At 45.3% G+C, this 18,580-nt stretch overlaps 1 protein-coding gene across 4 annotated transcripts in view, besides 1 other annotated feature; it reads left to right on the top strand.

Moving 5' to 3' along the window:
- The window catches only part of C14orf132 (chromosome 14 open reading frame 132), a 54,610-nt gene that overhangs the window by 26,399 nt on the left and 9,631 nt on the right, over positions 1-18,580 (top strand). The gene's annotated exons all lie outside the window — the stretch shown is intronic.
- Positions 12,348-12,397: an enhancer, noted in NCBI's record as "active region_8982". NCBI's record gives its function as "activates an Ori minimal core promoter by ATAC-STARR-seq in GM12878 lymphoblastoid cells {active_cell/tissue: GM12878}" and the evidence as "EXISTENCE:reporter gene assay evidence [ECO:0000049][PMID:35858748]".

Genomic DNA, 18,580 nt, shown 5'->3' on the forward strand with positions numbered 1-18,580 from the left:
ACTTTATTCTGCTCAGTGGCAAGGAATTTAATCTGATTAGGAGGCTGCTGACCCACACAGGGGACGCCCATTTGGTTCCAATGACACTGCTGAATCACTTCAAAGATGCTATCGAGTTAATTGGGGTAGAATAAATACTAATTTATGGCAACCTTTGCCAGCTCTTCCCCAAGGGAAAATTTTTAAACTCCCCATCCTCTTGCTTTGCTTGACCGCTGAGATCCAGTGAAAGTGGCCTGAACTTCCCATAGCTGAGCCAACAGAGGCACAGCCTCCTCCCCCTTATCCCCACCTCAGGAAGCCACAGCCACGTGGAGGAGCTCCTCAGGTACAGCCAGGGAGGTGGGGCATCTCAAACAGGCCTTGGCTGTTTCTTCTTAAGGTTCTTAGCCAGCCTCCTCTGAATGCAAGCTGTGGCTCTGGGGCTTGTCCCAGTCCCCTGAATTCTCACCATGGACCATGGGATGCGCGTGGAGGACAAGGTCCCCAGGGCCCTGGACCACACCATCTGAGCCTTTCTGTCCCCGCAGGGCAAGTGCTTCTTCCATTATTGCTAATCTAAGATGCTGTGCTCTGATGAGACAGCGTTTTCTCCCCCTGCGTTGTGCTGAGTTACTATGGCAACACTTTCAGAAGCGGTGAATTTGCTTTTTCCTCTTAATTCTGAAATGCTCTCAGGCTTTCCAAAAATATCCTTATTTCCCTGGGTCCAACTGTGGGTTGAGGCATGTCGGACACACAGAAAATAGAGCCAGCTCCTCCACCATGTATATATTACATCAAGTAGCTCAGTGCACAGCAATTGTTTGGGTAAACTTTTTTTTTTAATAAAAAATATTTTTAGCATCTGCTCTATGTCAGTAGATGTGCTAGGCACCGGGATTCAAAGAGAAGTTAGACTCAACCCGTATCCTACAAGTGCTCACAGTCCCTAAGAAAAATAGACAAGTACACAGTTAACTATAATGTAATGTGAGTACACATCTAACTATAAGATAATGTAACATAACATAATATATTGTAATGTAATATAATAGAATGTACTATAATACATGTAATGTAGTAAATATAATGTAATGTAATAAATATTTTGTCAGTTCTAGGAATAAATTAGTGTAAGACCCCAATAGAGAAAGCTGTTAATTCAACCTGGAGTGAGGAGGGTTAGGAGTTGGTAGATCTAGAGTTTGATTTCTGATCAATTACGTATGGGCTGTGCCAGCTCAGGGAAATGAACATCCCTCTCTGAGCTCCAAACCTCTATCTCATGCTGAGCTGTTGTGAAAATGAGGGGACACCATGAAGTTACAGCAGCCAGTCTCAGAGCAGCTGTTACTCAAAAGATACTGCTCTTCCTTGCCCAGGTGCTGGGGTGCCCAGAAGGGGCTCAGGAGAGGAAGTGAGCATAGATAGAGGGACCTGCAGGCAGCAGCGTGCCAGCACTTCTGTCAAAGGCAGTCGCGCCAGCAGCAAGGTGGCCGCGTGAGCACACCTGGCACATCAGTTCACAGGGAGATAGGAAAGCCAGTGTGGCCACTGCAGGGGACTGGACCTGAACCCATTGCCATCCTTGGGCTCTGGGTGGGACCCCTTTTGAAAGCTTCCACTGAACCAGAAAGATAGCACAGTGGTAAACTGCTTACAAGGGAGGCACTGCAACAAACATGAACATTGCTCTAAAAATTAGTGTGCACTCTGGGAGGCCAAGGGGAGCAGATCACCTCAGGTCGGGAGTTTGAGACCAGCCTGACCAACATGGAGAAACCCCATCTCTACCAAAAATACAAAATTAGCTGGGCGTGGTGGTGGGCACCTATAATCCCAGCTACTCGGGAGGCTGAGGCAGGAGAATCGCTTGAACCCAGGAGGCAGAGGTTGCTGTGAGCGGAGATCAGGCCATTGCACTCCAGTCTGGGCAGCAAGAGTGAAACTCCGCCTAAAAAAAAAAAAAAAATTAGCATGCACTCAGTGTAGGTCCCAGTGTCATTGTGCCTGGTCACACTTGGAGTGCTGTAGGCGTGCCCTCTACCTTCCACCAGCTTAGGTGCTCTTTGAGGGAAGAAAGCAGCCCTCTTTGTCCTGCTCAATGTTAGCATATGCAGGTGGCCACTTATAGGGGTTCCAGAGAGAGTTATGTCTTCTTTACTATGTGTGCCTGTGTCCTCGCCTGTCAAACAAGGGTGACGATAGTACCCACCTCATAGGGTTGCGATAATAAAACCCAATCATGCCTGTAACGTGCTCAGCCCATATCTGGCATATAGCGGGCTCTCAATAAATATTAGCTTTCATTTTTATTTCATCCACCTCATTGTAAATTGAAGACTCTCCAGCATGGAAACATTAGTCAAGGAGAGTGGCAAGTACTGATACCCAGTAGCAAATCTTTCCCTTAACTGCACCCTGCGTGGGCGAACAGCACAGAAAGGCTCGGTAGCTCCCTGTGTGTTGGAAAGCTTAATGAAAGAGCAGATTATGTTTTTTCAGCAAAACGGCCAGATTTGGAGGCCAGTTCTCTGCAGGATGTCACCTCAACGTGTTGCAGGGCTGGGCAAGTTAATGAGAAAGCCTTTGGGGTTTGGGGATTGGAGAAGGCCTGGATGCCATTCCCAGGTGTGTGATGTGAGTGATCTTAGGCGGGGTGCTCCGTGCCCGTCCAGCGGGCACTCACTGCAGATTCGTGGGCGCTGATTCCAGCCTTCAGCCTCCCTGTCTGTAGAAAGAGGCAGACCCCACCCACTGATACCCTCTACAGGGAGTAGAAAAGGATTTCTCACTTCCAGATGAGACCAAAGCTGGGACTCTTTGGAGCTCTCTATTTCTGCCTCCCTCAGGATGAGCACACGGACCATGTAGGGAGCAGCAGCCGCTTACTACCCCTGGGAGGAAAGCTTGGCCACATTCATCAGCAAAAGCCGATGCACCTGGCTTCTGTGCAAAGTTCCGCCCATTAGCTCTTGTCACCTTTAGCATGTGCTGTGCTCCAGGGGCTGTGCTGAGCACCAGAGGACCGTGATGGTTCATTTAAAGTGTCGACTTGGCTGCACCCTGGGATGCCCAGATTGGGTGTGTCCATGACAGTGTTTCTGGATGAGGTTAGCATTTCAATCTATGGACCCAGTAAAGCAGATGATCCTCTCCAATGTGAGTGGCATCAACCAGTCCACTGAGGGAGAAGGAAAAAGGAATTCTCCACTTTTATCTCCTGCCTGCCTGCTTCAGCTGAGACATTGGTCTTCTGCTCTCGGATTGGGTTTTACCCCCTCAGCTCCTCTGGTTCTCAGGCCTTTGGACTTAGGACTGAATTATGCCACCAGCTTCCCTGAGTCTCCAGCTTGCCGGTGACAGATGGTGGGGTTTCTCAGCCTCCATAATTGTGTAAGCCACTTCCTCATAATAAATCTCTTCATATATATATGTATATATATATATATGTATATATGTTATTGGTTCTGTTTATGTTCACATATATATGTTATTGGTTCTGTTTATGTTCATATATATATATATATATATATATATATATATATATATATATATATATATGTTATTGGTTCTGTTTCTCTGGAGAACCCGGACTAACACAGATTTGGTAGAGACTATTGATTTCTATAATCCTGGAATATTGCAAAGTATACCGTGATACTCAGGCAATTTGAATTTAGTTTCTGGTTCTTTGGAAATATTTAAACTATCAAAGCCTCAGTTATAATACCTGTGTGGTGGGAAGACACCACCTCCACCTCCCTGTGAGGCACACCATGATTAGCCAGGGCAGGCATGGGATGTGCATGAAGCTGGACAACTGGCAGCCCAGTTTGGAGCTGGCGCAGTCAGCCTGGGCAGGCAGGAGGCTTTTGAAGGCTTCAGCCTCCTGCACTGGCTTCAAAGGCCCAGGACTCAGAGGCTGACATCTGACCAGGGACCTCCATGAGTTACTTATGTAATGGAGTTGAGGGCCTTGATGATGTGGAAATGCATGCCACAAAATCCTGCTTTTTTGTTAAGTTTTAAAGGACCTCAACATGTATTATTTTGGAGAGGATGGCTTTCTACTTTGAGATCCCTTCTTCCCAGCAAACACCAACCAACCTTTATTTTTACAGCCTGGAAGTTTATTTTGATGCTCTTGGCACAGACATCTCCCTAAGGAGAAGTCTTCAAACCTGTGCTCATTAGCATTTCTTCCAGGGCCTTCCAAGACCCCGTGGAGGAAATTCACAGAGCATGCTGTTGTCCTGCTTCCACTTAATATTCCACATCGGAGAGCCCTGCCCCAGGAAGAGGGGCCGACTTTTGTACTAAGCCAGGTAGATTTACTGAAATGCATCCCCAGACCTCACCTCCACTTGTAGCCAAGGCTAAACCAAGAGCCTATGAAGTAGGAGCCTTGTGGACAAATGAGGGTTTTCCGCTGTGGAGGGCACTCAGGTTGTGCCCCTTGGAATTGTCCCTTTTTCTTGGTAATTAAATCTAGGTGCCTAGAGTCCTACGTTCTTTACCTCGTTGTTTACTTTTTAAATAATTGATTGCCCACCTCAGTGTCTCATGAGCCAGGTAGCCATCCTTCCCTTGGATCACTGGAGCTGACCTCAGCCCAGCCTTCCCTTTCTGGAGACGGTTACCTATCACCGCCTCATTCTTCTCCTTCTGCACCGTCTAAAGTTCTCTCCTTGAGGAAGCCCATGGCAGATAAAACTGGAGCCAGGTTTGTAGAAATGCAAGTCCTTAGGGAGGAGGAGACACTTGAAGCATGTCCCAGGAAACCCAGATTCTGATTTGAACTGGATTGCAAAGGTTCATTTGCCAGGGTAGATGAAGTCTCTCTCTCTCTCTCACACACACACACACACACACACACACACACACACACTGCACTGACCCCTTCTACTCCTTGCTAGCTGAGGGACTAACCTTAGGCAAATCGCTTAACCCTTTCTAGAGGCAGTTTCTGCATCCCCTTTTGTTAAAGGCACGGATAGAAATTACCCCACCAGAGTCATTGGCAGTTCTGAAGATTCCAATGGAAGGTGTGCAGGGGAGTAGCTGCATGCCCTGTGTCCTCATGGGGTGCACCTGCATCACCTTAGTTTCTCCATCCCTAGGGTAGTAGGGTCTCTGAAAGGCAGCTAAACCACTGTGAGTTAATGACTGCCACACTGTAAAGGTCATCGATCATTGTATGCAGTTTGCAGAGACCGCTGAGCTCACTCTGAGCCTTTGGTGATGTGCTGAGAAGGGGAAGCAACATCCAATGAGGTTTGTATTAGTCCATTATCATGATGCTAATAAGGACATACCTGAGACTGGGTAATTTATAAAGGAAAGAGATTTAATTGACTTACAGTTCCACATGGCTGGGGAGGCCTCAGGAAACTTACAATCATGGCGAAAGGGGAAGCAAACACGTTTTTCTTCACATGATGGCAGGAAGGAGACGTGCTGAGCAAAAGAGGGGAAAGCTCCTTTATAAAGCCATGAGATTGTGTGAGAACTCACTCACTATCACGAGAACAGCAGCATGGGGGTAACTGCCCCCGTGATCCAATTACCCCCCACCAGGTCCCTCCCACAACACATGGGGATTTGGGGAGCTACAATTCAAGATGAGATTTGGGTGGGGACACAGCCAAACCATTTCACTCTTCCTCTGTTGCCCATGTCTCCCTTCAAGCCTTCATCACCAGGAGTCTTTCTCCTATAGTGAAATGCAAGCAAGCCAGTCTCTTCTCCACTTTCCCTGGATTTGGTGGCATAAACTCAAGTGTTCTGATTGCCATCATTGCTACTACTGTCACCCCAATTAAGCCGTGAACACACACTGCCCCCTGGGGATCCCCAGTCTTTGGCCAGCTTGCCACAGTCCCAGCCCTCTCTCCTGAAGGGGTTCAGATGGCAGCCTGTGGACCTAGCCTGTTGCCACCCTGAGGGATGGTGCCACTCAACCTCGGGAAGCTGGGCCCCCTTCTGTGGTGAGTGAAAGCCCCAGATGTCTCAGCAGAAGACCAGCCCCAGGGGGAGTGTAGACAGCTGCAGGGAGGTGGGGCACACAGGGTGCCCTGCCAGGGCTGGTGGACATCGCCTTGTGCCTGTCCAGCCCTGGGCCTTCGTCACAAAGGACTTTTGCTGAAATCAATCAGCTTGAGCTTCAGCACAGTTCTGGGGCATGCCTGGGAGAGCCATGTGAATGTGGCCTCACAGAGAGGTGAAGGGAGACCTGGTGTGAAGGGAGAAGCTCTTTTTGGAGTTGCCTCTTACTCAGACTCCACAATGGTCATGCAGGGCTCAAGAGATCCTCCAAGTCGGAATGGCCATCAGGGTTAAGGTGGGGGATATGAATGGAAAGGCCTGGGACTCAGGGAGCCGTGCCCACGCTGTTGGAGAATCCTTCCGAGCACTTCCTCAGGAGAGTTGTCGCATGTTCTGCAGGCCTGTCGAAACACCACAGTGATCTCTGCTATGGGCTGAGGTCCACTGAGTCTCGATTTGCCAAGCACCTTTGTCATATATGCAGTAAAATCTTGGCGCTGTAGAAAGAGCTTGGGACGTGGAGGCAGATGTGGTTTGGGGTCCAGCCTGACCCTGGGTGCTTGGGCCTCAGCTGAGTCTGTGCAGTGGGAAGGCCACCACCACCTCCCAGGGGCCCTGAGGACTGCATGGAATGGTGAACGCCGGGCTTGCCACAGTGCCTGGCTCAGAGCAAATGCTGCAGTCTCCTTCCCAGGTGTGCTTTTGATTTACTTGCTAATATGCATACCAGAAAATTGTTTTGGTGGAGGGGATGATACGGTTCTCTAACTTGTAACAAATGCACAGAACCCTGTGACCATGACCACAATAAAAATTTAGAACTTTCCATCACTCCAAAATATCTCCTCTTGCTGCCTCTTGCGGTCAACCACCCACTACCTGACACATCCCTGTCTCTGCTGTTGTCCACCCCATTGTTTTTTGCATCATCCAGAATACCATCTAAATGGCCTTTTCCACATAGCTTCATTCAGTGTAACCTAATGCATTTGAGATTCACCCGTGTCATTGCGGACATCAATAACCTGTTCATTTTTATCGCCAAGTGGGATTATATTGGGTGAATGTAGACAGTTTGCCCATTTACCAGTTGAAAGTCATTCGCGTTGTTTCCAGTGTAGGGCAGCTATGAATAAAGCTATTGTAAACATTTGCACACAGGTTTTTGGTGAACACCAGTTTTTATTCCTCTTGGGTAAATACGTAGGAGTGGGATTTCTGGGTCATATGATAAACATATGTTTAACTTTGTAAGAACTGGCTAAACTGCTTTCTTTAAATGGCTGCATAATTGCTTCCCACAGCAAGGTACAAGAGTTCTGGTTGCTCCAATTTCTCATCAGAAATTAGGAACATCAGGTTTTTTTTTTAAGTTTAGCCATTGTGATAGATGTGTAGTGTTATCTCATAGTAGTTTTAATTTACATTTCCCTAATTAATGATGATGAACACCTTTTCAAGTGTTTATTTGCCCTCTGTATATATATCTCTTGTTCAGTGACATATCTCCTATTTAGCTGTTCAGATCTTTTACCTATTTTTAAAACTGGGTTGTTTTCCAGCCTCATTAAAAAGTGGGCAAAGGACATGAACAGACACTTCTCAAAAGAAGACATTCATGTGGCCAAGAAACCTATGAAAAAAAGTTCAACCTCACTGATCATTAGAGAATGCAAATCAAAACCACAGTGAGATACCATCTCACGCCAGTCAGAATGGTGATTATTAAAAAGTCAAGAAACAACAGATGCTGGAAAGTTTGTAAAGAAAAAGAATGCTTTTATACTGTTGGTGGGAGTGTAAATTAGCTCAACCGTTTTGGAAGACTGTGTGGCAGTTCCTCAAAGATCTAGAAGCAGAAATACCATTTGACCCAGCAATCCCATTATTGGGGCTATACCCAAAGGAATATATAATAAATTATTCTATTAAAAAGATACATGCATGTGTATGTTCATTGCAGCACTATTCACAAGAGCAAAGACATGCAATCAACCCAAATGCCCATCGATGATAGACTGGATAAAAAAATGTGGTACATATATGCCATGGAATACTACACAGCCATAAAAAGGAATGAGATCATGTCCTTTGCAGGGACATGGATGGAGCTGGAAGCTGTTATCCTCAGCAAACTAACACAGAAACAGAAAACCAAGCACTGAATGTTATCACTTACAAGTGGGAGCTGAACTATGAAAACACGTGGACACATGGGGGACACTGGGGCCTGTTGGGAAGGGTGGGAAGAGGGAGAGCATCAGAAAGAATAGCTAATGGAGGCCGGGCTTAATACCTAGGTGATGGGTTGATCTGTGCAGCACACCACATGGCACTTGTTAACCTACGTAACAACAAACCTGCACCTTCTGCACATGGACCCCAGAACTTGAAATAGAAGTTGAAGGAAAAAACAAAGTGGGTTGTTTTCTTATTGTTGAGTTTTCAGTGTTCTTTATATATTCTACTTATAAGTTCTTTGTCAGATAGATGATTTGTAAATAGTTTCTTTCAGCCTGTGGCTTGTCTTTTCATTCTCTTAATGGTGTTTTTCATGGAGAAAATGTTTTTAATTTTAATAAAATCCAGTTTGCAGTGTTTTCTTGTATGGATTATGCTTTTGATGTTGGATCTAATAACTCTGCCTACCATAAGATTACAGACATTTTTCTCTTAACATATTTTTCTAAACGTGTTATAGTTTTATGATTTCATTTAGGTCTAAGATCCATTTTGAGTTTTTTGTATAAGGCATGAGTTTTTTTTTTTTTTGCTGCAGCTGTTTTGTAATTTTTGTGTAAGAGATTGGGTTCCAAGTTCACATATTCTGTCTCTCTATATATTGTTGCATATTGACGTCCACTTGTTCCAGCATCATTTGTTGAAAAGACTATCCTTTTTCCATTGAATTGCCTTTGCAATTTTTTCAAAAATTAATTGGCCATATTATGTGCATCTCATTTCTGGACCCTCTATTTAATGTATGCATCCATCCTTTTGCTAACACTACACTGTCTTGATAACTGTAGCTTTATCGTAAGTCTTGAAATACAGTAGCATGAGTTCACCAAATTTGTTTTCTTTTTCAAAATTGTTTTGATTATGCTTAGTCCTTTGCCTTTGCAAATAAATGTTTGAATCAGCTTGTTGGCATTGACAAACATTCCTGCTGGGATCTTCATTGGGATGGCATTGAGGTTTTACATCAATCTGGGGAGAATTCACATCTTAACAATATTGAGTCTTTGATTTCATGACCATAGTATTTCTCTCCATTTATTTAGATCTTCTTTGCTATTTCATCAGTATGTTGTTTTCAGCATTCAGATCCTGCACGTATTTTGTTAGATCTAGGCTAAGTATTTTATTTTTTGGTGTTGTTGTAAATGGTGCTTTTTGGCTAAAGTTCATATTGTTTGTTGCTTGAGTGTGGAAACACAATTGATCTTTTAATATTGACCTTGTGTTCTATGACCTTTCAAAATTCAGTTATTAGTTATATGATGTTTTGGAAATTCCTTGAGATTTTCTGTATAGACAATCATTTCTTCTGCAATTAGAGATAGTTTTATGTCTTCTTTATATATAAGGCATCTCTATATATATATGACTTTTATTTCTTTTTCTTGCTTTATTGTACTGGCAAAAACTTTCAGTGTGATTTTGAATGGGAGTGGTGAGGTTAGACATCCTCTCGTATTCCTAGATCGTAGAGGGAAGCATTCACTCTTTCACCATTAGGTATAATGTTAGCTATAGGTTGTTTGGTTTTGTTTTCTAGATGTTCTTTATCAGATCCAGGAAGTTCCCTTCTATTTCTAGTTTACTAAGAGTTTTAAATCATGAGTGGATGTTTACTTTTGTCAAATGCTTTTTCTGCATCTACTGATATGATTGTTTTGTTTCTTCATAGTTCTGTCAGTGTGGCATGAATTGTAAGGATTGATTTTTTTTGGATGTTGAATATTTGAATGCTTTGCATTATCTTCTCTATATATTGCTGGATTTAATTTACCAATATCTCGTTGACTACTTTTTGTCTTGTTCAATTGAGATATTGATCCACAGTTTTCTGCTCTTGTAATGTCTTTGATTTTGTTAGCAGAGTAATGCTGCCTCATTAAGATGATTTGGGAAGTGTTCCATAAAATGAGTTGGAAAATGTTCTCTCCTCTTATTTTTTGGAACAGAATGTCTACAACTTGTATTTTTCTTCTTTATATTTTTGGTAAATTCTTCAATAAAATCATTTGGTGATTTTTTCCCAGAAGATTTTTAACCAAAAATTTAACTTATTTAATAGCTATAAGGACTGTGTGGTTTATCTTTTTTTCTTGAGTAAGTTTTGGTAGTTTGTGTTTTTTAAGGTATTGATTCATTTCACCTACATTGTCAAACCTATGGGTATGCAGTTGTTTTTAATTATCTCAGTAATTCCTTATTGTCTGCCCTTTTGCTGTCAGTAATATCTGTGGCAATATCCCTTTTCCATTTCTGATATTGGTAATTTGTGTTTTCTCCCTTCTTGCTCAGCCTGGCGAGAGGTTTATCATTGTTATTGATCTTTTAAAAGAACCAGTTTGTAGAGTCACTGATTTTTCTCTATTGTTTCTGTTTTCAATTTTATTGAGTTTTGTTCTTATCTCTATTATTTCCTTCCTTCTGTATGCTTTGGGTTTAATTTAATCTTCCCCTCTTCCTAATTTCTTAAGGTATAGTTTAGATCAGGGGTGTCCAACATTTTTGCTTCCCTGGGCCACATTGGAAGAAGAAGAATTGCCTTGGTCCACACATGAAATACACTAACACTAATGATAGCTGATGAGAAAAAAAAAATGCAGGAAAATCTAGTAATGTTTTAAGAAAGCTTATGGATTTGTGTTGGGCCACATTCTGTCCTGGGATGCATGCAGCCCGTGGGTTGTGGGTTGGACAAGGTTGGTTTAGATTATTAAATTGAGACCTTTCTTCTTTTCTCATATAAACAATTAGTACTATAAATTTTTCTCTAAGCACTGCTTTAGTTGCATCAATGCGTGCTGATAACTTGTATTTTCACTTTTACTCAGTTCAGAATATTTGCTAGTTTCCCTTGAGACTTCCCTCTTGATCCATGGATTATTTAGGAGTGTGTGATTTAGCTTCCAAGTTTTGGGAGATTTCCCCAATGTCTTTCTGTTATTGACTCCTAGTTTAATTCCATTATGATCAGAAGACATATTTCATAGGATTTTGATTCCTTTAAGCTTGTGAAGGTTTGCTTTATGACCCAGGATATGGTCTGTCCTGGTGACTATTTCACGTGCCCATGAGAAGAACGTGCATTCTGTTGTCAGGTGGAAGGTTCAGTACACGTCAGTTAGATCTTGTTGGTTGATGGTGACATTCAGGTCTTCTGTGTCCTTGTTGATTTCCTATTTCTTTCTATACCAAGAGAGAAGTGCTGAGGTGTGATAATTTTGGACTGGATTCTGGGTGTTTTGAATATTATGTTGTGAGATGCTGGGGGCTATGGGCTGAGTTGTTGCCCCCTCCCTCAACCCCACCATTCCTATGTTGAAACCCTAACTCCCAATACCTTAGACATGAGTGTATTTGGAGATAGGGTCTTTAAAGGGGGTGATTAAGTTAAAATGAGGTCACTAGGATATGCCCTAGTTCAGTATGATTGGCATCCTTATAAGAATAGGAAATTAGGACACGGACATGCACAGAGGGAAGACCATGTGAAGACACAGGGAGAAGGTGGCCACCTGCAAGCCAACGAGAGAGGCCTCAGAAGAAAACAGCCTTACCGACACCTTGATCTTGGACGTCCACCCTCCAGGACTGTGAGGATGTAAATCTCTGCTGTTTAAGCCACCCAGTCTGGGGTACTTTGTATGGCAGCCAGAGCTAACTAGTACACTGTGTCTTGTTAAAACTTTTAGAGCATCGCTTTGTTTTGGCAGTTTGGGTCTGGTCTGAAAATTCTCTGTCACCTTCTATAAGCAGTGGTTGCATGTCGTTTGGGTGTGTCTTGCAGGTGCACCCCTCAGGGGTTAGTCTCGACATGGCAGGGGTTTGCACCATAGTTCAGTTATCAGAGCCTTTACTGTGCTCCTTTGAATCTCTTTTGTGCATGCAGTTTGGGGTGAGCCCAAAATATGTACAGGTTCACACCACAAACTTAGGGGGTTCCCTTCTCCAGCTTCCTCCCTCTGGGTTCCCCTGACACTGTCTAGCTCCCATGGGCCTTTCTGTGTAACCCTCTGGCTGCAAAGCCTGCGTTTCTGCCCGCTGCATCCTCATGTGCTGCTGCAGAGGTCTGCACTGCCAGGGCACCCTGCAGGCAAAGCAGTGAGAGAAAATGGAAGAGATCAAGGGAGCCCCCACACTCTTCAGACCATGGGGCCCTTCCCTGGCTTCCTCTGGCCAGCGGAACTGTCACTGCTGCCATCGCAACCGTGGCAACACAGCTCAGCAACTGACACTGCTTTGAGAGGCAGGACCAGGAGAGAAAAAAGAGAAAACAAGTAAAAATCGGGGATTCCCCTCAAACTGCCAGCTCACAGGAGCCTGGCTTCTCAGTCTTCTGTCTAGAGAGAGGGGGTTTCTTCTAGAGCTTTTGTGCTCAGTCCTGGGAGATAAAAAAGGCAAAAACCCCAGTAAGCTCATGATGCCTGTCTTTCTCCAGGTTTATCTTCCTTCCCCGAGCCAGCTGTTGCCGCCTTCTTGCCAGGGGCCTCGGCCATTGCTTGTTGGAGCTTGCCTGGGCTTACTCTATCTGTGCCGGCACCGCAAGCATTTTTTCATACTCTCCTAGTTTCATAATGGTCCTGTGGGTCCCAGGCAGGAGTTCTCATGTTGAGACAGGGAACAGATCCAGCAAAAGAAGTGGCCCAGTCCAGCAGGCAGACTGGGCTGGCACCAAGATCTTACATCTCCCTTTGGGACCCCTTCAGGTACCACCCATCCCTTCAGGAGGACCTGCCTGCCTGTTCACGGTCCTGCAGTCCTGCCCGCCCCAGCTCAGGAGGCCGCTGTGCCATTAAGAGCCCAGCCTCCCAGCAGTTCCTGCTGATTTGTAAGAGTCCACAAATGGGAAATGAAAACTCAGGTGCTTTCCACCCTTTGCTGACCCTCCTGCTCTGTGGGGCTTCAGCCCTCCCCGTCAGAGGACATTTATGAGGGGATCAGCGTGTACCTAGCCATGCACCTTCCATTTCCTTTCTTACGTTCCCAGTGTAATCCACATAAAATAAACCAGACCCAAAAGTGGAAAATGGAGAAAATCAAAAGAGACCCCACTCTGGAGACACCTTGAGACAGCAGGTCCAGCTCTCTGCCTTGGGAGTCATGGGGCCAGGCAGCAAGGATGAAACTTACAATGACAGTTCACGAGCATGGAACACGTACAGCCGAGTGCTGTGAGTTTCTGTCACGCCATAGCACCTTAGGAGGTGGTTCCTGCTCTTATCTTCATTTTACAGATAAGGAAGCTGAGGCATTGGATGGTTAGTCACTTGCCCTCATCATACAGCTAAAAAGGAACCACGCAGGAGCTCAGTCTCATGCCTGATTCTGCAGCTCTTATAATGAATCCCAACCTGTGTTGCCTCTTTCTAGCCGAAATGTCTTCACCCCGTCGAAATCCCATCACCTTTTTCCTCTCTCTGTGAAAGTGCACATGACACCATTTTATGACTGTGTGTGTTTCAGTCTATATTCTTTTTAAATGTTGAGCCCTTCCGAAGTCATGAGTAACCCTTGGTGTGCCTAATGTCTGTCTATCACTTCCTGGTCTTCCTGGTGCAAGTGGGCCTTTGGTATTTGTTGAATGAATAATGAAAGGATGGATGGATGGTATTCAAATCTGTCCAGCCTTTATGTTTAGACCACAGAGACCCTGCGAGAATTTAGTGATGAGAGAAATTATCTTTAGAATGTTTGTACACTAAGTGGAGTCTTCTCTGGAATTTTCTGATGTGCTAGGTCCCCCAGAGAGCCTGGGCCACAGATGGTGTGTTCTGAAGAGACAAAACTGAAGGCGTGGTCCCTTGTACAAATTCTGAAATTGCTGCTAGTTTTTAGATTAGCCACATATTGAGTTGTCAGATGTAGCAAATAAAAGATGCACAGTTAAATTTCATTGTCAGATAAACAACAAATAATTATTTAGGATAAGTATAGGCTGTGTGATATGTGGGATATACTTATGCTAATATGTGGGATATACTTATGCTAAAAATTGTGTTGTTTATTTGAAATTCGAATTTAAGTAGGCATCTTAAATTTTGTTTGAGAATTTTATTGAAGGGTTTATATGGCAATATTTGCCACACAGACTCTCACTTTAGGCCCGTCTATAACTGACTTCAGCCTTCTTAGTATTGGGCAGGGACTTCTGACCTTAGATGTCACCCCATCCAAGCCACTCCCTAGTGTGTAAGGATCCAAGACAGGGCAGGGCTGGAGCAGGGCCAGATCTCAGGTCTCCAGGCCCAGAGCAGTGTGGGAGCAGCACAGCCCACTGGGGACATGGTTGTCTTTACCCCCACACAAATTTAACTTTAAAATTCATAGCCCAGGAGCATCAGATTCTAACTGTTCGAGGCCAGGTTGCTGCAGAACGGGCTCAGCCAAGACAGGCACTGAGACTGCATCTAATGGAGGAGGGTCTGGTGGCCCCCGTATCACAAGCCATCACAATCACCCTTCTATTGTTTTGTGTTTACCCATCCTCTGAAAGGCCTGCTGGGGTCACCTCTGATAACCACGCTTTGAAGATTTCCTTCTGAAACCGTTTTCCGTTCCTTTCTCTGTAGAGGTGGAGCTTAGGGGAGATTTATATAACGGTCACCTCCTTAGTAGGAACAGGTGGAGGCCTAAAGGCCACCCCACTCCTTGGAGCAGCATGGAGACTGTTGGGAAGGCAGGGCCCTCTGAGGCCCCTGGAGGATGCTGTCCCATTTTCCACAATGGCCCGGACCACCTGGAACACCCCACATCGCACTCAGCCACCCCATGCTACATGGTGCCCCGACACTGCGGGGCAGGGACCCCAAGCCTGGGGCACCCTTCTGAATTCAGAGAGCACTTAATCCCACGGCCACAACTGATTATAACCATCACGCGTTTGGTGCACTCCAATGCTCAAAGCACTGCTCTTAATTTTAGGAAGTTCAAAAATACCAAAAAATAACAGACACTCGTATACCCACTGACCAGAATAGGCCATTTATAATATTTCATCATGTTTGCCTTGTCTTTCCTTATAAGAAACGACTGCAGATGAAATCAGTCTGCTTTGTCCCATCTCCCCCTTTCCCAGAGGCAGCCACGATCATGAATCTGGCTTCACAATCCAAGTTGGTACTTTTACTAACATTTGTATAAATCCATGCATAGTACATGGTCATATTATGCATGCATGTTTTTGATTTCAAGAATGCTATCGGAGTTTATTTTGTGACTTGCCTTTTCCCCTAGAAAGCATTTTTCATCCAGTGTTAAGAACCTCCCAGCAGCCCCCTTCTATACGGCTGTCTTTATTATTTCCTCTGTTTTTAACTGAGAAACCTCTGCCTCAGAGAGATTAAGAAGTGGGCCTAGATCACACCACGAGGCAATGTTGGCCCTGGGGCTAAATCTCATCACGCCCTCAGGATTCTTGACTGATGGTCCTAGGATTCATTCATTTACCAAATATTTTTTGAGTGTCTGCTCTGGTCTAGGCATTGGGGATACTGTGATACTGTGGAAGAGCCCTGCCTTCGGAAAAGCGTAGGCAGAAAATACAGCCTTCTGTCTTCAACAAGCCAACAAGTGTTTTTGTTTTCTTTTTTTGAGACAGGGTCTCGCTGGCACGCAGACTGGAAAGCAGTGGTGCCATCAGACCTCACTGCAGCCATGATTTCCTGGGCTCAGGCGATCCTCCCACATCAACCTCCCTAGTAGCTGGGACCACAAGTGTGCACCACCACACTCCGCTAATTTTTTTTATATTTTGTAGAGATGGAGTCTCACTATGTTACCCGGACTGATCTTGAACTCGTAGCCTCAAGCAATCCTCCCATCTTGGCCTCCCAAAGTGCTGGGATTACAGGCATGAGTCACCGCACCCGGCCAACAAATGTTTTTTTGTTGTTGTTGTTTCTTTTTTTAATCTTGATGTGAATATCTCCTCCGATAGGGAAACAAGCCCCCCTCGCCCCCCAGGTCACCCTGTGTTGTCCTGGTTGCCAGTGTCTAACTCAGCAAGAAGAGACTAGTTTTCTTGTTCTGCCCTCTTAAGCCACTCTGTCTTCTGCACAGTAGCTTTTCTAGGGTTTAAGGTTAGGCTCACGCCCCCAAATCTGCTCTGAGTCAAAACCTCATCCAAGAATCCCATTCTCTGAAGGCCAGTGGCCACCCTTGCCCACTGGCGTGAGAAAACCCTGTTGCTCATTTCCAGCAGTGGCGTGCCACCAGAAGGGCATCTTTAAAAGTGGCTAAAAGTAGACTGGAGCTGGTCGGGTGGGCTTTGAGAGTGACATTCTCTCATCACCTGCTTCCAGGATGACCTCAGCCAACACCCCTCATTCTGACCACAAGCCAGCTCCTGATCAAATTTTTGTAACTTCCAAATGATGGAATTGAGACTGACTTTTTGTTTTTGAGTCATGGAATTCTGCTGTTGGAAGTTATTGTTATGTCTAACTCAGCACTTTCCATTTAGAACCTATTTTACAAAGAAAAAAAATATCAAAACAAAATAAAACCAACAAACCTGAGACAGATGGATGGAGCAACAGGGCTGACCAGCTTTGGAGCACCTCTCAGCCGCCTGTCTCAGCATACACTAGGGGGCACGGGTGGCCATCTGCTGACAACTGAAAATGAGTACCTGGTTATCGATCACACAAAAAGCACATGACCAGAAATGCCGTGTTCCTGATTTCCTCACTTTAGCTTAAGCAGCTGGATAAGAGATGCATGTGATACTGTCCTACAAGGACGACAGAGGGAAGGAATATTGGTAATCATTGCGTAACTGTCTTGGGCCATGCTTTCTTATACATGATCTTATTCACTGCTTGCAACAATCTCGCTGGTTGGACTGCATTCTCTTCATTACTTATAGAAGGGAAATTGAGGCAAGTGGGTAAGTAACTCACCCAAGCTCCACCATATGTGGCAAAGCAGGATTCAGCCCCAAGCCTTTCTGACACCAGAACCCACCCTCATTTCCCACGCTCTGAGACAGCAGAATCCGTCCCACACTGACCATCCTCTTTGGCAGTTCTGAGCTCCCACTACAGGTGCAGGGCAAAGGGGACTCCCCATGAGGCCTGTCCCACGGCTGGGAGCTCCAGGATTGGGGTTTATGAAGTACCGCCTGTGGGGAGCCCTTCTGCTGATTTCAAGTTCATTAATTCTGCATGCTTTTACTTGTCACTTTTTTTGTATGTTAAGGATGGGGCTGAGGGGGTTTGTGATGAGTAGACCATATCCTTGCCTTCAAGAGTTCTCTGTCTAATGGGAGGTGGACATCCAGTTATGCACACCATCCTGACTCCTTTCTGGAACGGAAGTCTGGGGTATGGTCAGCAGAGTGATGCCCCCACCAAGGATGTCCACGTCCTAACCCCTAGAACCTGTGGATGGATTACCGTTCATGGCCAAAAGGACTTTGCAGGTGTGATTAAGTTAAGGATTTTGAGATGGTAGGAGTAGCCTGGATTAGCCAGGGGAGCTCAATGTCATCACAAGGGCCCTTATAAGAGCGAGGCTGGAAGATGAGAGAGAGAGATTGGAAGATATTACACTACTGGCTTTGAAGATGGAGGAAGGGGCCATGAGCCCAGCCATGAGCCCAGGAATGTGAGCGGCCTCTAGAAGCTGGGAAAGGCGAGAAAACAGATTGTCCCCTAGAGCCTCCAGAAGGAGTGCAGCTCTGCCAACACTTCGATTTTAGTCTAGTGAGACCTCTGAAACTGTATGATACATTAGTGTTGTTTTCAGCTACTGTGCTTGTGGGAATTAGTCACAGCAGCGACAGGAAACTGACCTGCAAAGCTATTAAATAAATACCTGCCGGGAGGCAGAGAAGGGAGGGGTGCAGAGGCTGGAGGGCATCACCCTGACCCGTTTGGCAGGAATGTTAGGAATACAGGTGCCGAGTGCCTCCTGGCAGGAACCCATCAGAAGCAGGTGCTCAAGGGCCACCTGATGGCCTGGTTGGCGGGAGCCCTACAAAAGGCTCTGTCCAGGTTCCCTTCCTCTTTCCCCAGTGATTTGGATGAAAATACTCATCTCATTCACATTTGCCCTAAAGAGAAGAGAGAGACAGGACATATGCCCAGAGAGCTCCATAGGGTGGGAGAGTGGCTCAGATCCCATTCGTGGAGTCCAGGGAGACATCTGTCTGAGCAGCCAGCAGCATGGGCCTGGTGAGAGAGAAGAGACAAGAAGCAATGAGTGGGAAGGGACAGGAACGCTGGTTAATTCCTGGGAATCTGGCAGGGGTCGCGGGGGGATGTGGGGGCAGAACAATCCCCTGCAGCCCCCGTCATGCCCAAGAGGAAAA

The sequence above is a fragment of the Homo sapiens genome, chromosome 14 (genome assembly GCF_000001405.40).
Source record: "Homo sapiens chromosome 14, GRCh38.p14 Primary Assembly".
Taxonomy (NCBI): Eukaryota; Metazoa; Chordata; class Mammalia; order Primates; family Hominidae; genus Homo; species Homo sapiens.